The sequence below is a fragment of the Homo sapiens genome, chromosome 14 (assembly GCF_000001405.40).
Source record: "Homo sapiens chromosome 14, GRCh38.p14 Primary Assembly".
NCBI classification, from domain to species: domain Eukaryota; kingdom Metazoa; phylum Chordata; class Mammalia; order Primates; family Hominidae; genus Homo; species Homo sapiens.
In genome coordinates, this window is record NC_000014.9 from 60,497,967 (window position 1) to 60,520,727 (window position 22,761).

The following is a 22,761-nucleotide window of genomic DNA, read 5'->3' on the forward strand; positions in this document are numbered from 1 at the left end:
TTTCTATTGCCTGCAGCTACAGTGTCCTGGTAAATACAGAAAAGTAGAGATAATGAAATTTTGTGTCACTGTATATGCCACTTGAAAACTTACTTGCACCACATTTCTAAGTATCAAAGTCAATTAAATTTTCTTTGTTTAGTTTCCATGAATTTATTGTAATGAAGCATGTTTTAGTATTTTTCATATTTCATTTATAATTTCTTATACAGATTTTGTTTTCCCTGGAGTTTCTAATTGCACTTCTATATTTCTATACACAAAATAATGCACATATTCTTTACTATATCATTAAAACTCTTGGGCTCCCTTACTAATGTTGAATGAGCTAACATAATTTCCAAACTCTAATTAAGCACAGACATTTCTCATTGAGAGGTCTATACCTTTCCAGGCTAATCACTCAATTTCATTAAAGACTGTTTCTCAGGCTTCAGCCTGGGTGCACTCATAGGATTAGGGAGATATAGGAAAGGCCAGTTATCACCACCCTGCTCCAGACAATTTTCCAAACTCTAACCTCATTTTCTGCTCCTCTTCCCCTCCAATTATCTATATCTACAACTCAGGGAATTCAGTGGAAAAACTTTTTCATTTATTTTAAACAATGCTAAATGTTAATTATTGTACTACTCTGTAATACAATGATGTCTTTGTAATCTATGGACTTCTATAGGACTTAAGGCCCTTACAATAATAACCTCAATCCTTGGTGCATTTTCAAATCTCATGTCTGCTTTTCCTACATGAGGAAACGATAAACTTTTACTGAAGGACATTTTAAAAAACATTAGAATAAATGACAGTCATTTCATGTATTTGAACTGGAACATTCAACATTGCAAAGATGTAATTTATCACAAATTAGTCTATTTATGTAATACAATTCTGTGAAAACCCCCACTGGACTCTGAGATAGTGAAAAAACATTGACAAACTGATCTTAAGGTTCATCTGGAAGAAAATATCCACAGAACAGCCAAAGAATTTTCTTAAAAATATTACTGAAGGGCCGGGCACGGTGGCTCACACCTGCAGTCCTAGCACTTCGGGAGGCCAAGGTAGGCGGATCACCTGAGATCAGTTTAACACCAGCCTGGCCAACATGGCAAAACCCCATCTCTACTAAAAATACAAAAAATAGCTGGGCATGGTGGTGGGCGCCTGTTATCCCAGCTACTCAGGAGGCTGAGGCAGGAGAATCGCTTGAACCCAAGAGGCGGAGGTTGCAGAGAGCCGAGATCACACCATTCCACTCCAGCCTGGCCGACAAGAGCAAAACTCCGTCTCAAAAAAAAAAAAATAATACTGAAGAATAACTCGCCTTACCAGATATTAAAATGTACTTCAACTGCAGTTGTGAAACAATAGGAATAAATACACATATCGATGAAACAGAATAGAAGATCCAGAATAATTTCTATGTATATAAATTTAGTATGTGATACAGGTGGCGTTTCAAATCTGTGGAAAAAGAATAGATCAATCAATAAATAATTGTGGTAGAATTAGAAAATGATTTGAAGAAGAAAACAACGCTGTTAGATTTCAAATTTACATAAGACCACAAAATAAATCCAGAAGTATTAAGCAGTTTTAAAATGTTTTTAATCTAAGAATAGTAGGAGAAGGAAATACAGATTATTTTTATAACTGGCAAGGTTGGCAATACTAAGTATGGCCCCTAAGGCAGAACTGGATTTGATAGATTCAACTATGTAAAAACTATAGGTGATTGCCTGTAGGGCAATCAACTTGATAAAGTTAAAAGGCAAGTGAAAAACTGTGAAGAAATATTGGCAATACACGACAAGAAAAAATATATATCCTTAATATTTGAAGTGACCTTACATATGATTTTGAAAGAACAAACATCCCAATGGAAAATTCTCCAAAGAATAAATACAAATTACCCATAAATATATTAACATGTATAACCTCATTAATAATCAAAGAAATGCCCATTTTAAAAAATGAGAAATTATTTTTCATCTATCAAGTTGGGAAAGATTTATAAGAAGATTAATGACCAGAGTGTGAGGAGGGACTAGCACTCCTTTTTTATTTTTTATTTTTTTGAGATTGAGTTTCGCTCTTGTTGCCCAGGCTGCAGTGCAATGGCGCGATCTTGGCTCACTACAACCTCTGCCTCCTGGGTTCAAGTGATTCTCCTGCCTCAGCCACCCAGATAGCTGGGATTACAAGCATGCGCCACCACACCTGGATAATTTTGTATTTTTAGTAGAGATGGGGTTTTACCATGTCGGTCAGGCTGGTCTCGAACTCCCGACCTCAGGTGATCCACCCACCTCAGCCTCCCAAAGTGCTGGGATTACAGGTGTCAGCCACCACGCCTGGCTGGGAATGACACTCTTATACAGAGTGGGTAGAAGTAAAAATTGGTAAAAGTCTTTTTGGATGGAAATTTGGAAGTATGTATCAATTGTTTAATGTGTATACCTTTTGACCCATCCATTTCACATCCAATAATTTGAAGGAAAAAACTGGACAATACATAAACATGTTCCTTGCTTCATTGTTATAATGGTGAAAAAATGGAATTTAAACATCAATAGGGACTGGTTAAATAAGTTGTGGTATTTATGCTGTAGAACACAATGTAACCTTCAAAATGATAACATATTTATGGTCAAGAAAAATGTTCACGAAATGTTATCAGGAAAAGGCTATAAAACAGTATGGATAATATAAATACTTTCATCAAAGGGGAAAAAATGTGTGTCTCTGTGCATAGAGAAAAACGTCCATAAGGATATGCACCTAGCACTAATAGTAGTTATCTCTAATAATAGTACTACGAGAAACTCATTTTTGACTCTATATAACCATAGTGCTTGGATTTTTATGTCAATGACCATGTATTGCTTTTATAAGAAGGAAAACGAACAAAAAAAAAGACATTTCCAGTAGGAAAAAAACCTAGCACTCCAGATGAGGACAATACATGAGAAAAGAGCACAAATAGCAACAAATGAACTAGAGCAGAGGAAAGAATAGAGAGGAATGTGTGTGTACATGTAGGTATGTGTGTGTGTGTGTAAGTGTGAGTGTGTGTAATAAGAATAGACTGTCTAGGGCCAGGTGAAGGAGGGTCACTTGAGGCCAGGAGTCTGAGACCACCCTAGGCAATATAGAGAGACCCTGTCTCTACACACACAAAAAATTATTAATTAGCCAGATGTGATGCCATGTATCTGTAGTCCTAGATACTAAGAAGGCTGAGGTGTGAGGATGGCTTGAGCCAGGAGTTCGAGGTTGCAGTAAGCTATGATTGTGCCACTGCACTCCATCCTGGGCAACAGAGCAAGACCCTGTCTCCAAAAAAAAAAAAAAAAAAAGCAATCACATGCATCCTTCTAAAATACAGGCAGAAAGAGTTTTCACATCCACACATCCACACATAGGAGAGAAAGTAAGGCAAAGAAGGAGGCAGAGATTGGAGAGATGCAGCCACAAAACAAGAAATGCCAGCAGCCACCAGAAGCTGGAAGGGGCATGAAGAGGCTCCTCTAGAGCCTCTGGAGAGGATATCGCCCTGTCAACACCTCGATTCAAACTTGTTGCCTCCAGAACTGTGAGAGAATAAATTTCTGTTGTTTTAAGCCACTCAGTTTGTGGCAATTTCTTATGGCAGCCACAGGAAACAAATACAGAGGGCATTTGGGGAATTTCATGTAAGCTATCTATTGACTTCTTTAGACTAATTTATTGCAACAACAGTGGTCCACAGAATAGGAAGGCCTACTTCAAAATAACCTATTGCTTGGAAAGTTTCGAGAAACCTAAGGCAGGCATCAAAAGATTATGAGACCCAGGACAAGATGGAAAGTGAGACATCATTAAGACAATATGGCCTAATTGATATATTAAGTGGATAGTTGCCCACAAGAGGGGAACTAACACTTGTTGAGAATTTACTATGTGTCAGGCACTGTGCAAGGAACAGTCATTCATAATCTCATTTAATCCCTACATCTATCCCATAGGATAAGAATTATGCTATCAGATAAGGAAACGGGGGCCCAAAATCATGTGGTTATTGCAATGATTTAAACCTAAAATATTGGAAGTCCTTGCTCTACTGCTTTATCTGCTTCTATAAAGTTTAGTTTGAGAAACATCATTGCCCTAAAATACCATTATAGTGACACTATTTCCCTTTTCTATGAAAACCACTCCCCATCCTCCCATCTACCTTCAGAAATTGAGTATTGTATCTTTATCTATCTCACAGTTTTAACAAGGCTTAGTCTAGTGAGGAGGTCCTCAGCAATGGGGAATAGGAAGGAGTAATGGAGTCAGAAGAAACACAAAGGAGAAAAGGGAACATAAATATGAATTATTACAACACAGAGAAATACAATCATTGGGAAATAAGAAATCTTTCAGAGACCACAAAAAGGATAAAAAGGTAAAGAAACAGAAAGGAGATGAGAGGGATAGAAAGAAAACAACTAAATGAAAGATAAAAACTAAATACTAAAATTCAAAAAAATCAGTTCAGCCCCCAATTTTAATAGCTGTAAAGACATATTATCTTACATTAATTTCACCAAAACCAAGGCATAACAGAGAAAGTAATAACAGATAAAACACTAAAACAGAAAAAAAGATTAAAATTTCATAGTTTGAAAGATCTGAGAACAAAAATCTGCTGTTAAAGGAAATATGCACTCATTTCTCTGTCCCTTAATTTTTTTCTAAATCTACTCCCACTGTCTGCCTGTATAATTCCCTGCCAGAGCTTTGCAGCTGGTCCCCACTGGGGCTTAAGCAGCCTCCTCTCTGTGTTTCCATTTAAAAATCTTTATTTCAATAGGTGGGCCTAGAGCATCTGCACTTCCAAAATTACCACACAACTGATCCAAAATGATTGAAACAAAATTGGTTTCAAAAATTGCCCTTAGGCTGAAAAGAAGATGAAGGCTAACATTTCAGACCTAAAGAAACATTTATGACAATTCTGTGGTCTGTAATAGACTTCTGTAGTTGTAATAGAAATGTTGACAGCTTGTTAATTATAGAAATGCTTGTGAGCATCACTGTTATTCTTTTGGAAGACCTGACAAAAGAGTTCAGAGGGTTTTGTTTACTTAAACCAAGCTTTACGACACCTCAAGTCCAATCTCTTTTCCTTAGAGGCTGCATTCAGTTCCATTTTTCCTGCCAATACACAGTGTGCTGACTCAGAGAAGGGTCTTCAGTAACACCAGACTCCACCAGTTTCCACCCCCGCTCAAAAAACAACAAAAATCCCAGAGACACATTTTTGATTCAAGGGTTTTTAGGGCTTGCAAGGGTTATACCACCTGACAAGACCCAGAAGTGTAAGTCTCTCTGAGGTCCTTGAACTAGAGTGCACCAAACTCTGAAAGTCACAACAGCATGAAATAGTACTGGACCTTACACACGGCAGGCATTAACCACTATTTGTGTGTGATACAGAACTGCCCTCAAACTCAATTGGAATTAAATTATTTTCCTTGAGTAAAAAAAGTAAGGTATATAATGGATACAAGTTTGAGTCTATGTTTTAAACCTATCTCTGCCATTAACTAACTGTGCAATATGGGTAATCATTTAACCTCTGTGGTCCTCATAGTTTATTCATTTATAAAATAGAGAGACACTGAACAATAACTTTCAACCATTGTTCTCTGTCCCACTAATTATTCAAAGAACATAGATCCTAACAAGATAGAAGCAACCCCACCATTCCCACAGATATTTACAAGCTTTATAAGTATTTGGTTATCCTAAGTATCATTTACAGTAAATTTTAAGAAAAAACAAAATTACAGTAAGCTCTTAGGAACAGATTTTATTAACATGGCCTAGACCCAAGATGAAATTGAAAGTGCTCTGAGTCCTTTGTAAATGCTTCAACTCCACAATAAACCAAATTTTAGCAGGTTTTGTATGTCTGTGCCTTGTTGATCATTTGGGGCAAGATCCTTTGGGTCAAGGTTTCTTAACAGCAGTGTTATTGACTTTGTTATTGTGGGGTCTGGGGGACCACTGTTCTGTTCATCATAAGATGTTTAGCAGCATCTCTGGCCTGCACCCACTAGATGCCAACTGAGACTACCGAAACTGTCTCCAGATATTGACAAATGTCCCCTGGAAGTGGGGAAACAGCGGGAGGGAAACAAAATTCCCCTCAGTTGAGAATTGCTGCTTTGAAGGGTAAGATGTCATGTGACTGTATTTTTTATAATGCAATATTTAATAAGCACTTTTTGCTAACTAGCTGGATCAACTCAAAGAATTTAAGGTATTTGTTGAAGGCTGATGCCTCTATTTGACTTTATAGTACTTAGAAGGAAATTATGATTTACTACACATGTAATACAAACAGTTGATACAATGTATGACACATACAGTTTAATGTGAATAATATTTGGTGCATCCGAGAGGACATTAAACAAACTTACATTCTTTCACATCATTGAATTTTAAGTTTCTATGTGTATTTTAGAAGGATATTTCGATCTTAGATTTGAAAATTGTCAAAAATAACCTGCTGCTGTGAAAAAAGTATGTCCCAATAGAGAACCATGAATTAATCATTCTTTCAGTCATTCAATAAATGTTTCATTACTAATAATGAAAAGTGTTTTTAAGTGACAAGCTGGCTACATTTTTTAGCACTAATCCTTCAGACAAGAACCCACTGATATGTAGCTCTAAGCAAGTAATGCAGTGATGTGGTTAGTGCTGTAAACATTTAGGCTTGTCCTAAAGAAGTAGACAAGAGAAAAATGAATTTAAGACCACAGTTTATATTACAAAGTGTATAATTTGTCATCTACTCTTTGGCTTAGATACAAATTTTTATCCAAGTGCCTAGGATCAACCACTAGCTAGAAGTCAAAACACAGTTGAACAGGTAGCCTAACATTTTTTAAGAAAACATTAGGCTAATTAATCATCACTGTGAAGTAGCACATTGTCCCAAATTTAAACTTATACAAATTTCCTCCACTTAACAATATAAACAATTCTGCATCACTTTAAAATGTCATTTAAAAATAGCTGATGAAGAATAATAACAAAATATACTAATCTCTTAAAATTAGGTCAATATTTTAATTGTAATACTTTTTTGCCAATTAATTTAACAACACTAGGAAATCTACAAACATTGCTCAAATGGTGTTTGTTCTCAGAAATATACAATTAAAGAGCCTTCTCTGTTCTTTGTTACAAGGTGCACAATGGCAGGGGAGGAATGCATGAAATAGTGCAATCTACCTTGGCAGTTTATTAGTATAGTTAGTAGTACTTTAAAAGTAGGATATTGAATTCATTCCAAAATCTGAAGGTCTGTACTACCAAACACATAAACAAACACACATCTATATTTATGCATATGATATACCTGAAAATCAGAATGCCAAATAAATAAATGTTTGAAAGTGTAAATTTTTAATAGTGTAATTTCAAACTCGGAAAAATGCCTTTTAAAACTTTCTAGATTATTTTATACTTTTTTAGAAGTAGAGTTATAAAACTAAAAGCCAGTTGTCACCACCAACACTCGGCTTTGAGACACAGGAAAGGGAAACCAAGATCTCTTCCAAAGTCCAAATCACACAAAAGACTGGGGACCTCATTGTCTTCCAGTCTGTGACTCTCAGATGCAGCACAAATGTCTTTATCAAGGAATTCAGATGGATTCAATTACCGCATTCTTAAAATAGCTGATTATGTGAAATTGTGTGAGAAAAAAACAAAAACACAACATTTTAAAAAAGACATTTGACTTAGGAAAAGTCAAAGAAAAGATAAGATTGGAACCCAGAGGTAGGAAAGTATTGACTTCTAAGCACTGCTCTCCTCTGGCAAATGTGAGCAGGGTGTGACCAGGATTCCACCTGTCCTCTACTCTAGAGAGGAAAATCAGTAGGGGCAGAGCGAGGAGTGAGATCCCCATATGTGCAGAAGTCCCACACTGAACTCCAGATATTTCCGGCATGAGCCTCAGAATTCCCTGGGGGCACTTTGCCTAAATCCAGCACGAAACAGTTAGCTACAAAACCAGCCCTTGGACATCATCTTCTACATGATTTTTTTCTCCATATTTGCCCCACAAAATGCAACTCTAGAGAAAGCTGAGTAGACGTCTATGGATTCCCGGCAAGACCCGAGCCTTTGTCCAAGACCTCATGTCCCAATCTACTAGCTGCAAACCACCAGTAGCAAGCTGCAAAACCACCCAGACAGGCCCAAGGCCAAGGGCTGCCACTGTACTTTCTCGATTTCCCGGTCAAATGCAAAAGAAAAATGAAATGTGGGATAAGAAGTGAGGGGTTGCCTGGAGGGTTGGCACAAAACCTCAAAACTGGTAAAAGAAAAAAATATATACCCTTCTGTAAAATTAAGAAAAGCCAGCCCGAAGTCACAGCTTTCGTCTGGCAAACTTGGGAGAAGTACACCTTAAAGGTGGGGTGAGGGTCACCGCCTTCCCCAAAAGAGGGTTATTCCTAAGGAATCCCGTGGAGCTTCCCTCTTTCCCAGGGGGCTCGGCTCACATACTTCTTCCTGTTCGTCCCTTCCCCTTGTGAAGCTGGTGAACAAATAAGTGATTCCAAGGTGCCCTGGCGCAGTCTATTTCCTTTGGGTTAATAAAATTAAATCAAGTCCCTTGCGATGGCGAAGATGGATCTCCTGATAGTAGTCCCCAACCTCCAGGCACTTCTCAGTCCCTTCCTGCCAAGCCACCAGACAGTGCTCCTACTCTGCCACACGCAGCCCGCACCCTTCTGGCGGCTCCCGCGAGGCCAACTCAGACTCTCAGTTCCAGTTGCCCGCGAGCCTCAGACACGCAGAAGCTAAAGCGCCCTCATCTAATTATTTGCAGAACTATTATCCAAGAAATGGGCCATGGGATAAATATTCCCATTTCCTGGATGGGGCCCCTAGACTGTCCACTTGCTCACAAAGATTAAGGGTAAGAAACCAGCTCTCCCCGAATGTGCCGCTTCCAAACTGTCCAGTAAAAGGGCGAGAGGGAGACGTGTGGTCTCCTGGGGCATGGACAACCTCTCCCACCTCAGCAGCTAGGCGCTGGGATCGGGGTCGGCTCTCGGCTCGGCTCGCGGGCTGTAAGGTCTCCGCGGACCCCACCGCCTCTTCTGCGCGCTAAGGGTGAGCGCCAAGCAATTTCGCGAGCAATAGCCGGCAAAGTAACCACCCCGAGAGGGAAAATAAACCTCTGCAAACTGGAGCAAGGGGGTGCTTTCCTCCCCTGGCCAGAAGCTCCGGGATCGCAGCCCTCCCGGGTCCGGCTTCATCCCTGCCCGGCCACCGAGGCCCTCTTTTTCTGCACCGCGGATTCTCCTCCGCCTGCGTGTTCGGGGCCCTTGTATCCGATGTTTCTTTCTAAAAGTTGTCCTTCCGGCTGATTCGGAAGTCGCTCCAAGGGAAAGAAGGTTTATGCTTTGTCATTATCTTCATCGCCCTCTTTATTTTGCCCCTGCCTTGTCGTATTTCAAGAAAATGAACTCTTAGAAAAGAAAGCCTCTCCGTTGAGGCGGTTGGCAATCTCACAGAAATGATGTAAATGGTTTCAGGGCTTTTTTCTTCCCCTCTGCTATTTTTTTCGAGTGAACTGTGAAGATCTGTGAAAATAATATCAGGGTTTTCCGTCAGAACGAGCTTTGCCCTGCACTCAGGCGTGGCGTGATCTGACCCGACACCTCCAACCATCTGTGCTATCTATCTGCCTTCTGATTTACCAGATCTGTACAAGCCGCATACAAATTGTACTTGATACTAAAGAAAAGACAGTCGGGTCCAGTCCAGTTCGGCTGTGAACGTTCTCACCTGATTTCTGTCTAGGGATGGACCTCCCCAAAACGGTTTTCCTGGCGTTTTTGTTATACAGCCCCCTACCAGTTATTTTCTTCAAACTAAACAAACCCCTACCACAGGCCCAGATGAGATCATGGTTTCTTTGACCCAGGCCTCAGAAAATGGTATGATGTGGACTGCCAATTGGGAATCAATAAAAGTTGCCAATTCACTCCACTAGCCCAAAGTCAGAGCCACCAAGCCACTCCTTCCTCACTACAGGAGGGGTCAATAATCAGCGGCTTAGGAAGTGCTTTCTGGGCCCCCGCATTGTCGTGGATGCCCTTCTGTATTGTATTTTTACTGAATTGTTTTTGAGCTAAAATGCCAAGGTTAGAGTTGTTATCCCCAGCTCAAGAGGTATAAGTTCTAACACAAGGTAGGGGCAAAATAAGCCTACAAGGAAAGGAGTTAAGTCGATATTTTAAAAAAGATCTAGGAAATAAGCTTTTAAGTTGCTGTCCTGACCTACCAATGACTTCTCGGCTCTAGATGTGGCTATGCTGCACTTTGTTCAAGTCCATTAAACTGGGGGAGGGGGAGAAAGTATATTTCTCCCCCTTTATTTGGAGGTCCCTACAGCCCACCCTTCTTTTCTTAAAGTGTCTGACTTCGTGGTCTGCATCTGCGTTATCAGACGTGAACATGTCCTTGTTGGCATTTAAAATTATTTTAGTGGGCTTTGAAGGGAGTAAGGCTAGAGTTCAAACTGACCTCTTCTACAGATCCCTGGTCCTGTTCCTGCTGCTCCAGATTTGCTTCCCACTCAGCTGCTTTGGCAACTGGAAAGGGGAAGAGGGAGGCATGCAGAGATGGGTACTTGGGAAAAATGAGAAGATCGCTTCCCCCCACCGGCTTCCTGCTCCCACCGCAAGGTTTGCTGTTTCGTTACAACTAAACTTGCGAATTCTCGGAGCATTTCAGTTTGGCCCAGTCCTCTTTGTCCTCTGGAGACCTCTCGACCGAGACAACGCATCGCCCCAAAGTGAATTCCTGAATTCCTGTGGCATCACTGCCTATTTGGTGGGAAAAAGGGAGGGAGGGGTAGAGCGGGGTGGGGGAGGGAGGAGTAGTGAACGCTGCCGCACTCGCCTCTCTTTTTCTCCCAGACACTCGCATGTCTTTTCAACCTCCAGGTTCTGCAAAATACTGAAGAAAAGTCCAGGAGCTAACGGCGGGCGCTGTCGAGCACGGGGAGGTGCTGAAATAGTCCTGGCGTGCTGATTCAAGCTTTGATTGGCAGAGCCACCCGGTGACTGACAGGGGGTCTCCATGGCGCCCGCGCCGCCAATCCGCCCACCCCAATAGCGGAGCCAGCTCGCCTGCCGGCGTGCCTGAGCCGAGCCGAGCCCGAACCCCAAGCCGCGGAGCCAGCACCTCCTCCAGTCGGGGTCGTCCGCTCCCGGCCGTTGAGCCACCGCCGCCACCCGGTAGTGTGTCCCGCTGCCCCAATCCGCCTCATCAACAAGCGCCTGGCACACTCAGCCAGGCCCGCGGGCATCTGCTGCGTGTCCCGCTCCGGGCTCAGTGCCCTCGCCGCCGCCGGCACTGCCTCGATGTTCCAGCTGCCCATCTTGAATTTCAGCCCCCAGCAAGTGGCCGGGGTATGTGAGACCCTGGAAGAGAGCGGCGATGTGGAGCGCCTGGGTCGCTTCCTCTGGTCGCTGCCCGTGGCCCCTGCGGCCTGCGAGGCCCTCAACAAGAATGAGTCGGTGCTACGCGCACGAGCCATCGTGGCCTTTCACGGTGGCAACTACCGCGAGCTCTATCATATCCTGGAAAACCACAAGTTCACCAAGGAGTCGCACGCCAAGCTGCAGGCGCTGTGGCTTGAAGCACACTACCAGGAGGCTGAGAAGCTGCGTGGAAGACCCCTGGGACCTGTGGACAAGTACCGAGTAAGGAAGAAGTTCCCGCTGCCGCGCACCATTTGGGACGGCGAACAGAAGACACACTGCTTCAAGGAGCGCACGCGGCACCTGCTACGCGAGTGGTACCTGCAGGATCCATACCCTAACCCCAGCAAAAAACGTGAGCTCGCCCAGGCAACCGGACTGACCCCTACGCAGGTGGGCAACTGGTTCAAAAACCGCCGACAAAGGGACCGAGCGGCTGCAGCCAAGAACAGGTCGGTACCTAGAGGCCTCCGCGCTTTGAGCGCACCGGGGAGGAGGCGGGTGGAGGCACCTCTGGCGCCCTTACCCAGTCCCTGGCGACTCCAATTCAGCAGGAGTTGGGAGCGCGGTCTGTCTTGGGTTAAGAGCCCTGCGTTCTGGGCTCCTGGCCGGGAGTTCCCTTGCCGGCTCTGCTTCCCCACCCGCTGGCTCCCCACGCCTGCGGGCAGCTGCAGCAGCTGGTCCCGGTCACCAAACCAAGGCTTCACTGGGACGGAGAGGGGAAGAGAAATAAAAAATTAAAATCCTACAAACAGTTAGGGACCCCAAGACCCAAAGCTAATTCTTGTCAGCCTGGGCACAGGCTCCTACTATTAATCGAAGCCTGGCTTATTAGCAATGTGTCGGTTTCATGTTAATTATCATTTTCAAAGCCCAGGTATATCCCTCCCTAATGCTTTGAAAACAGTTTTCAATGGACTTTTGAGAAATGGGAAGTCGAGTTTTCCTCTTCCCATGCGCTGCCTGCCACTCTTGTCTCAAAACAGCAAACTAGTCCGTGGGCCGAGGCTTTTCGTTTCCCGGAGTGTGGATCTCGATTAGCCAAACATTTTGCGGAAGAGCCCGGCCTCATCCCCCAGGCCCAAATGCTCCTTACAATCCTTTTTGCCTTTAGGTCGGGCCGACCCGATCCAACGCGATCGCGGGAGCACTTGCTCAGGCGTAAGCCCCAGGCAGACGCACCGTTAGAAATGGTATCCCATGTCCCTGGGACCGATCTGTCCTTGTCACCCACACTTCGTTTATTTCCTGACAGTCCTGTAAATCTCCCAAAAGTGCACAACAAACAGGGAGGACACTGCAAGCCCAGTATATAAAAGACCTGGGAGCTGCGGCGCTGAGAAAGGGCGCGAATCATGGTGGGGCACAACAGTAGGGACCCGCGGAGGGGCGGCCGCGGACTCCTGCCCGACCTCTGTCGCCTTGCCGAGTAATCCTCGCCTTAACTGCTGGGGTCTTCGGAAGAACCTCTAGCCGCCGGGCTGGAGGGACGCAGGAGGTGGTGGGGGCGGGCGACGGGCGGCTGTGTTACGAGCTGTGACCCGTGTTCCCTTTCTTCCCCGTAGACTCCAGCAGCAGGTCCTGTCACAGGGTTCCGGGCGGGCACTACGGGCGGAGGGCGACGGCACGCCAGAGGTGCTGGGCGTCGCCACCAGCCCGGCCGCCAGTCTATCCAGCAAGGCGGCCACTTCAGCCATCTCCATCACGTCCAGCGACAGCGAGTGCGACATCTGAGTTGCCCATCCAGGATGCTCAGAAGCAGATTCCAGTGTAAAAACGAGAAAAACAAAATGAAAGAGGGGAAGAAGATGAGAGACCTGCAAATCCAGCGCCACAGAAGCCAGGTGACCAGGGACCCGCGGGCTCGGGTTGCCGTTTCCCGCCCCACCCCGCGGCCGGCCTGGCTTCACTGGCGCCCTTTGGCCGCGACCACGGGAACCAGCGGTGAGGCCTGACCCAGCACCACGTTCTTCTTGCTTTGCTTTTTCCTAAGGATTTTGCTGCAAAGTCTCCTTCGGAACCCGAACTGCAAGCTGAGCGCCTGCCCAGATTCTCCCATGGGTATTTCACGTCGAAAGGACGCTGTTACATATGTATAACTTTCGCTTTAAAGTTTTTTTTTAACAAAACATATATATGCTGTTTATTTACTTATTTAAGAGACCGCCATGGTAGGTTTCTCTGTAGCTTGGGGAACTTGCTGTTTCTAAACATGCAGGCTGGTGGTGATGGGTTCTGTGTGGAGAAGCCAAACAATAAAACAACCTAGTGGGCAACCTTCTTAATTAAGGGAGCTGCTCTCAGATTCCTTTTCTTCTTATTATTATTAATATCATTCCCTTCACCAGGCATGCAGGGACCCTTGAGCAAATGGTCTCCGGAAGGTCTTACCTATATATCTTTTGCCTTCTTTGGTGCTTCCTGGTATATGTTTTAAACAACCTATGGTAGGTCTATAACCACCTCCCACGTCAAATTACACGTATGTGCATATATGTATGTACCTATACAAACATATGTATGTACCTATACAAACATATGTATGTATGCATACACGTGATATATTTAAGGCTAGAAATTGGCAACATGTGAGCGTCCTCTCTAAGGCAAGTCCCCGCATCCCCAGCACAGGTAATTATGGCTTGTCCACTTGACACTCGTTTACATGAAGTGTCAACAGCTTTCAGGAGCAATTTAGGAAGCCAAACTATGGGACTCAATAAGTGAGTCCTATTTTCTAAAAATGCAAAACTATCCTGACTCAGGCTCTGCAGCAAGAAAGGCTTTCTGTCTCCTTCAAGGCCCCCTCCAATACAAAAGCAGCAGGCACCCATGATCATGCTAGAGTGAGCATATACTGCATTTAGGATTGAGCTATTATTAAAATAAGACAAAAGATGATAGAAGAGGTTGTAAATAATTAGACTAACATCTTCTTGCTGCAGAATTTGGTTTTAATCAAATGAATGGTTTTTAACAAGAGGGATACTGAGATGGGGGAAAGGATGTAATCATGTCACATACTGAGGGTAAAACAAGGCTGTAGAAATAACTGGCATTTTAAAAACCTAATCTCCGAATTAAGCATAGAACAAGTCATCAAGGGCCTCATTGTCCTGGTAATGGCCTCGATTAAAACATAAAATATTTTTAGCATTTAATTTTTCCTCGTGCACATGCATGTATGCACCTATACATGAACAAATGCATGCATATACAACGCAAAAACATCTACCATCTTTGCACTAAGAAAATAAATGCTAGCCAGAGTCTCTAATTTTGTTCCTAGTGAAACAGATTGCATATTATAAAATTTGACATTGATCTTTAAATCACTTGAGCTGACTTCCCTCTTTACTGTCCCCATCCCCCAATTACAGCCTTTTCCATTTGCCTTTCTGTCCTTAGAAGATGTTCTTTGGATCAGAAGCCTGCTAACTTCTTTAGGCAGAAGTGCCAAAGTGCAAACCAAACAAAAATAAGTGAAGTCATGGAAGACAAAAAGCAGCCAAACGGCAAGATAGACAATGGAAGCCCAGGACAGAGTAAGGGTTGATTTTTGGTTTCTAAATCGCTTGAATAGATTTGGCTCATTTGGGCTTTATAAATGTTGTCCTTGTGTATGGTGGCCCTTATCCAGAGAATTCTTGAAAATCAAAACTCTCTTGCACAAGAGCTTTACATGGAAGGAGTGGGTAAGTTTTCGTGATAAAACTGGTGTTCTTTCCAAAAGCAAGCAAAAGCCCTCCTGTGGGTCCTGAAAGGCTCCCATTGTAGAGCTTCCTCAGTACTTAATTTTGTTTCCTAGAGCCCCAGGTAGTTCCTAGAATGCTAACGAGGGGCTGGCGAGGACTAGAGTGAGGCCAGGAGGGGACTCACGGTCAAGGTTATGCAAGTGCAGCAAGTGCAAGGCACATGAGATTGAGTGCCTCCTTAAATTTTGCACTCTAAGTGCCTCCTTTGCCTCATCCTAGTCCTTAATCTGACAAGGAGTAGCCACGGATATCCACTCTTGTTCCCCAGCCCCACCCCACCCTTAGCTATGGGGCTGTCCAGAACCAGTGTTTGGAGAAGTTTGTTGGCAAATTTTCTCTTAAGTTTATGCTTCCAAGTCCTAGAGGGATGGGAAATAACTAATTAGTGGAATAATGTAAAAGAATTTGAGATTCTAAAAATCCCACTCCACCCACCCCTTCAAATGATACCTAAAAGCAGAAGAAAATGTCCATTCCGCAGTGTCAAGAAAATAGGGTAACTAAGAAACTAAGCTTTCTCTTTACAAAATAATTTTTAAGTGACAGTTTATTGCTTGGACAAAAAGAGAAGACCAAACAGTGATGGAGCATTTTTAATTCCTGCTTTGACAAAAGCCTTTAAACTACAGCTACCATTTACTTAAATTAACAAGCTGCCTACATTTTAAAGTAGCTATTCTGTTTCAACAATCTGGATATTTATTTATTTAATTTCACTTTAGAATCTTAAGGGGGTGACACATTACTTGTAAGATTTTTTTAAATGTTTATCTGTAATGTGATGGCACCTAATTGCCTCTGTGAATAACCAATTCTTTGGTGACCACATATTGGAAATTAGTCCAGATCTTCACAGAGATTTATTTTATTTTAATCTTTCCAATCTTCCCAAGGACATTTAAAGGGTTTCTTTTTAAGACTTTTTCCATATCAGCTTCATTCTGGTCTTCAGGGTTTTGGGGGGAAAAAAAGTCCAGGTAATGGCAAGGCTGAAGGTTTCTGAATTTGGCAAAATCTCTATATAATGGGTTTCCTTCCTTTCTTTTCCTGCAATTCTTCTGTCACAATTTCCCAAAAAGCAGCTACTCCAGCAGAGTGGAAAGAGCATTTTTATATTAAATATTTCAACGGACCTGACCAATGTGAAGATTTTACCCCAAGCCCCAGGTCAGGCTCTTTTCCGGCTTATAAACATTTCAACCACACTCCAGTTTCACCAAAAAAAACGACGGCCCCTGCTCCCCAAATGCCGCAGTTCCTCTCGCCTCCACTTTAATGACCCACTCCACTTCCACCCGTCACTCCCTCCTTTCCCTTCGCCAGTTTGTTTATAAAAAATCTGGGAGGGAGGGGAGAAGACGATGGGGGTGGGGAGGGCTTGCTCTTTGTTTACATTAAACAAATGACAGGCAAAGAGCTCAAGCAAAGTCTTCCTTGACCTCGTTCCCTCTCCCTAATTTTAACAAAAAGGAAAAAAATATTGTATCCAAAGAGAATGTGAATGGGGCGGGAGGAGAGGAGAAGCAGCTTTTCGCTCTATTCAACGGGGACGCGAGAGCGCGGACGATTTCCGCTCCTTTTGTGAGGCGGAGCCCGGGGGCGGCCGTGAATGGGGGGTCTGTGGAGCGGCCGGCGGGGCTGTCAGGCGGCTCTGCGTAATCAGGGCTAATGACGGCGGCCGGGCGCTCGGCGGGACAATGCGCGGGGCCGCGGGGTTTTGTCGGCCTGAATGGCTAATAGGTTTGCCTGTGAGCTGCGAGGGGGCGGTGTCGGGGAGGAGGCGGCGGCGAGGGGAGAAGGGGTCATTGTCCGCGCGCTGGCCCGGGCGCCGAGGCGTGTCCCTGCCTGCGCCGCGCGGCTACCCCCGTGCCCGGCGCCGCCGACGGGAAGGCAGCGGCGGGGAGGCCCCCTGGAGGCCTGCTGGGAAATGGCGGCTGGAGCGGCGGGCGCGTGGGTCCCCTCGGGGAGGCGCCCCAAGCCACGGTCCGCTCCCAAAGAGAAGCCCAGACTGGGCCCACAGTACCCGGGAAGGTGAGTCCTTACTCGGGGGCCCAGATCTCCCCACGGAGGCCACAGATCTGGGTCCCCGAGGAAGGAGAGCCCCCCTTTTCGCGCACCCACCTTTTCCATCCAGCGCCCCGCGAACTCGCGGACGTGTAGGCCTCGAGCCACTCCTACTGTTGGGCTGCGTGACTCAGCGGCTCGAGGAGAGAAACCTCTCAAAACCGGGGGACCGAGACGGGGTTCAATTTAAACCTAGGTGGGAGAATGAGCCCACAAGCGCGCGCCCCTGCAGCTGCGGAGGCGCGCGCCCGCCCACCCTCGGGCGCCTGAAGTCGCAGCGGTTGCAGAGCCTCGAGCCCGTGGATGCGGCGCGCGCCGCGGTCTGGGCCTGCGCGAGAGGCTGCCGCCCGCGTCGGGCCTGGGCCTACGCGTGTCTGGCCTGGGCCTGCCGGTGCAACAGCAGTTGTCGCCACCGGTCCTAGGCCGCGCCGAGCGAGTCGCCGAGAGGGGCGGGAAGAGGGGAGAGGTCCGAGACCAGGGAGCGGGACCTAAAGGGGGCTTTCCGCGCCCGACAGGTCCGCCGGGGTTAGCCTTCGAGGCGGGGAGAGGGAGCGGGGTCCTTCAAGGACCGCATGTTCGCGATAGCACATTTGAGCCCTGGCAGGCCACCTGGGCCGCCTTCTTTCGGAAACCTTGCGGGGTTTCCAAGCAAGGTTTACAATGGGAAACTTTATTTCCCATTGTAAGCTCTTACAAATCTCCTCTGGCTAGATCCTTCCTTGCAGCTCTCTTTGCTAGGATTTATATTCCCAAACTTCTTCAGACGTGCCCTACCGCGAGGGAACGAACTGGTTTTCTTCCCGTTTTCACCTCCTTGTCTGGAGACAAAGGGGTGTGAGGGCGATCCCAGAGCTGAACAAGCAGTTTCACGCCTCCCTGCCCGCTCATGCTGTTTCCGCTTGCCCTGTGGTTTGCTCTGCCTGGAACGCCGCCCCCTACCTCAACTGCTACCCTGTCATTCCACAAAGCCTACCCCACCTCCACTAAGTTTTCCGTGAGCCAGTGAGCTCCACACAGATAATGTGCCACCACCTTTTTTAATGCTCCCACCGCACCTTATCTAAACGTCTGTTTTAGCGCTCTAACACTTTTGCTCATTTATTTGTCTGTCTGACTTCCCCCTTCAGCCTTTGCTAGAATGTAAGCTCTTTATTTAAAGGCAAGGACCAACTCTTACCCATCTTTGTATTCCCAGCACCTAGCCCAAGTAGTAGGTGCTCAATAAATGTTTTAAAGCTGAATGAATTCATGCATCTTCCTTGAAATCTGTCTGCTCTTACGTTAGTGGGGGACCTCTGCTAGCTCGGGAATCATTTGAAGAGAAGAGATGACTTATATTGGCTGGACCCAAAGTTCACTGTAATCCTCCCAGCTCAGTAAGTTACTGGCTGTTACCTACTTGTCGGGTTCTCTGGGATGATTCCATAGAGTGCTGTCTCCCTCTAGGCATGCGGTTTTTTTAGAGTGCTATGACTTTGGGTTCATACCATGAAAATTATCTTCTCACACAACACATTTTCCCAAAAAGGTAAGAGTAATCCTCTTGGATTTTGAAAATTCTAGGTATTATACTCTCTGAACCCTACAACATAAGAATTTCTATTCTGCTTCAAAGATAACTGCTATGGTTTAATGTTCATATCCCTCCAAAATTCATGTTGAAACTTAATCCCCAATGCAGTAGTATTAAGAAGTGGGACCTTTAGGAGGTGATTCACTGCCCCATGAATGGAATTAGTGCTTTTATAAAAGGGCTTGAGGAAGTCTATTATTTCCTTTTTGCCCTTCTGTCCTTCTGCCACGTGAAGGTGCAGGAAAAAGACACCATCTTAGAAGCAGAGAGAACCAGCCTTTACCAGACACAGAACCTAACCAGGCTTTGATCTTGCACTTCCCGGCCTCCAGAACTGTGAGAAATGTATAAATTACCCAGTCCAAAGTATTTCCTTTATAGCAGCAGGAATGGACTAAGACAATAACCCTTTCCTTTCTCCTCCCTCCCACCTTTTCTCTCCTCTGGCTTCCCCACCTCACTCCAGTCCTGACCTACACATGATAAAGTAAACCACAAAAACAAAAAAATCACAAACCCAGACAAGGTCTCCAATTCTAAGATAATAGATTGGCATCCCACCACCATGCTTAGGCTCACCTAGGGGGGATAAACAGTTTTCATTAAAATATTTTTTTTTTTTGAGACGGAGTCTCGCTCTGTCGCCCAGGCTGGAGTGCAGTGGCGGGATCTGGACTCACTGCAAGCTCTGCCTCCCAGGTTCACGCCATTCTCCTGCCTCAGCCTCCCGAGTAGCTGGGACTACAGGCGCCCGCCACCCCGCCCGACTAATTTTGTGTATTTTTAGTAGAGACGGGGTTTCACCGTATTAGCCAGGATAGTCTGGATCTCCTGACATCGTGATCAGCCCGCATCGGCCTCCCAAAGTGCTGGGATTACAGGCGTGAGCCACCCGCACCCGGCCATTAAAATCTTAAATCGCAAGGGCTGTGTGAAAATACTGGATAGCAAACTCATCTCTATTTTAAAATTTAATGGGCAGAAGCAAGTGAACTGTGTATAATTTCGAATTCTGATAAAATACGTATAAGGCTTCCTCTTGGAAATTCATTCTAGCCTGGCACTGCCAATCTGCAACCTGAGAATACTGAGTTACTGTTTGTTTTTCTCACTGAAGAGATTAGTCTTAAATTTTCTAGCACGAAATCGAACACTTGAGAGGGCACATTAATTTGGCACATGAAGAGTCTGGTGGGCAAAAAATTATTATGCATTTCGAACATTTTCAGATATTTAAGATTCCTATAAAAGATTTGCCCATTTAAATTAATCACCACTTAAAGCATTTTCCATGGCATTGGGTATACTCCTGACTTTCTATAAATTCCTGGTAAATTACGTATTTGAACTGAAGACCTACGCATGTATATCTTATCTAAAGAAATTATTTTTGCAGATACTTGTAACTGTATGAACTGGATTTGTCCATTTAAAATAGAAAGCAAGTGGGAAAAAGAAAACTATACTGGAAACAGTCTGTGGACAATGGGCTGGCACCTGAGAAGGTGGGATCAGACAAACCTGGCTTGAAATACCTAATCGCTGTGAATTTCAGAAGTCACTCAACTCTCTGAGCCTTAGTTTTTACTTCTGCAAAATGGGTTGATAATATCCAGGAATATTGTGAGTGTTATTTGGTTAATGCATGTAAAGCACCTAGCACAGACCCTCACATATAATAGGGGTTCAGTGAATGGAACTTCCCTTTCCCCATTTTGCCTGGTTAAATGCTAAGGCAAAGAAATAAGCTTAAAAGTTGTTTTTAATAGATGTAATGTACATATTTGTAATATTGAATTTAAATGCTAAATGCTTTCCTTAGTACTAGAAGCAGCTTCCACTCACCACCCCCAGTAGGTAGGACCCAATATGTTGGTTTTCCAGCAATGGCAATGGAGGAGCTTGTGCTCACATACCATCATCCTTTCCTTGCTTCTTTACTCTGCTTAAGGCTGCTTGTCAACTATGTGAAGCTCTCCAAAGGGATCCTGGCCCATCATGCAAGTCAGGATAACCCCACATATAAAGTATGATCACTGAAAATGTAACATAACCTTTTGGGGAAAATGCAAGGTTCATTTCTTTGAGGAGAAAGTAGTGATCTCACTTCAATTACACTCGCATGGCTCTTTTTATAGCTAATAATAAAATATTTCACTTGCACTATTTCACTTCCTCACAAGAACCCTGTGAGGTAAATCAGCAGATAGTGGGATTCCCATCTTCCGGATGAGGGAACTGGGGCTCATTACTTGCTCAAAGTCACAGGACCAGGAAAGAATCCAGATTTTGTAGGGTTTGAAGCTTACACTATTTGGAGGGGTGGGGCACTCTTTAAGATTAAAGATATAAAATTATGAGTACAAAATTGGGTACAAAAAATAACATCAATTACAATTTTTTTAACCTGGCAAATACAACAAACCACAAAATCCAGGCAAGTAATAAAATCATTTCATTAACTGTCTTACATACCTCTAGAATTGTTTTTTCCCTACTGTTTTTCTGTATGTTCTTTGATTGCTCCTTTGTGTGACAATAATTTTATTATACAACCTCAAATAGAAAGATAATTCAGTCTTTACTGTGGGTTGGTTTAAATATTTTTATTATTGATAACTTAGAAAAGTTTCTCGCAGTTTCATAGCTCATTATTGGTAATGCCATATATTATTTTTAGGATTGGCATCAACTATGGGAAAGCCTCAGTGAAATTTCTTCCATATATAGGCAGTTAAATTTCAGGACACTACACGTTTCCTTGAGCAATAACCCATTAAATAATCTTTACATTGACAACATTCATTAACTAGTTTGTGATCAGGGTCTTACACTTACAAAGAAGTAACAGCAAATCATAAAAATATAACACTGAACTCAAATAAACTGTATACCCAACTCAAGTTCCCTTTAACTACCAGATCCCAAAAATGACTATGGTTACTCCATTGAAACCCAGCATGAAGGGAAATGGACAGAGGGAAAATAGGAATGGAAAGAAACAATGATCTATTGTTGTTAAATTGCCTTATTTTATAAATTTTCAAAAAATGCAATGATTATGTGAACATATTGCTAGAACCACTTCCAGGACCTTGGAAGAGACCTGTGCAAGTGAGGAATCTTGAAGCCTAAGTGTCATTTGCTCCAAGGTAATGCTGCCTGTGCACAGGCCCAGTGAGTGATGAGAACAGGTTTTCTGACTCCAAGTCCATTACACTTTTCTATTACCTGAGACATAATTTATTTTCTCAGAAAGTTTTGATAAGTTTCTACTGAAACGCTGTTTTAAAAAAAGATAACTCATAGACGGAGGGAGAGAGAGTTTAAGATTGCAACTGGAGAGCTGGCCCTGAGTAGAACTGTGAGGTACGCAGTTTACCCCTTTGAACCTGGTTACCTTTCCGTTTCCTTTTGGAGGTCCTTCACCTTGCCTACTTACAGGTGCCCCATCCCAAACTGTCAGAAGCCCTTCGATGTTCTTCACCCTCCATTTATCAAAATCTATTCTCGGTTGTCACAAAAATCAGATAAACCAATTCACATCAACATAGAAGTAGAGCTGCTAAAAGCTTGATGAATTACCTACAGATGGGGGCCTGGGAGAGTACTTACTATCTGTTAGGAGATAATCCTTTAATTAAGTAACCTCAAATCACTAATGGTAGCAATTCAAACACCACTAGCAGGCTAGTAGAAAATTATTTTTGGTTGGAAAAGAGCCAAGTACCCTTCAAATCATTCCATTGAAGTAGATGACTGCTTCGGGAGTCAGATATCACCAATATTAAAAGTAAAATAAAGTAAAAACCTTTTC

The 22,761-nt window shown here is 44.0% G+C and overlaps 2 protein-coding genes across 3 annotated transcripts in view, besides 3 other annotated features; one reads left to right on the forward strand and one right to left on the reverse strand.

Moving 5' to 3' along the window:
- C14orf39 (chromosome 14 open reading frame 39) overlaps positions 1-17,578 on the reverse strand; it is a 79,589-nt gene extending 62,011 nt beyond the window's left edge. The window contains exons 1-2 of one of the 2 annotated variants that reach the window (XM_047431324.1): positions 17,429-17,578; positions 1,330-1,464 (exon numbers count right to left, since the gene is read on the reverse strand). The gene's annotated coding sequence lies outside the window, so the exon portion shown is untranslated. Of the gene's footprint in view, positions 1-1,329; positions 10,770-17,428 lie in introns of those variants that run through there. The other variant, XM_017021250.3, reaches the window with a different exon arrangement.
- Positions 11,180-14,884, forward strand: SIX6 (SIX homeobox 6). Its single transcript, NM_007374.3, has 2 exons — positions 11,180-12,004; positions 13,118-14,884. The coding sequence occupies exons 1-2, from the start codon at positions 11,433-11,435 to the stop codon at positions 13,284-13,286; spliced, it is 741 nt and encodes a 246-aa protein (NP_031400.2). The 5' UTR covers positions 11,180-11,432; the 3' UTR covers positions 13,287-14,884.
- Positions 13,048-13,819: an enhancer, noted in NCBI's record as "H3K27ac-H3K4me1 hESC enhancer chr14:60977732-60978503 (GRCh37/hg19 assembly coordinates)". NCBI's record gives its function as "activates a minimal SCP1, AML or CMV promoter by ChIP-STARR-seq in naive H9 embryonic stem cells {active_cell/tissue: H9 hESC(naive)}" and the evidence as "EXISTENCE:reporter gene assay evidence [ECO:0000049][PMID:30033119]".
- Positions 16,893-17,394: an enhancer, noted in NCBI's record as "H3K4me1 hESC enhancer chr14:60981577-60982078 (GRCh37/hg19 assembly coordinates)". NCBI's record gives its function as "activates a minimal SCP1, AML or CMV promoter by ChIP-STARR-seq in primed H9 embryonic stem cells {active_cell/tissue: H9 hESC(primed)}" and the evidence as "EXISTENCE:reporter gene assay evidence [ECO:0000049][PMID:30033119]".
- Positions 17,116-17,285: a silencer, noted in NCBI's record as "silent region_5812". NCBI's record gives its function as "represses an Ori minimal core promoter by ATAC-STARR-seq in GM12878 lymphoblastoid cells {active_cell/tissue: GM12878}" and the evidence as "EXISTENCE:reporter gene assay evidence [ECO:0000049][PMID:35858748]".
- Positions 17,579-22,761: the final 5,183 nt, after the last annotated feature.

Excerpts from the sequence above, each read along its gene's own strand:
- SIX6 (NM_007374.3), top strand. The coding sequence starts at position 11,433 with ATGTTCCAGCTGCCCATCTTGAATTTCAGCCCCCAGCAAGTGGCCGGG. Across the intron at positions 12,005-13,117 it reads GCGGCTGCAGCCAAGAACAG|ACTCCAGCAGCAGGTCCTGT; the intron begins GTCGGTACCTAG and ends TCTTCCCCGTAG.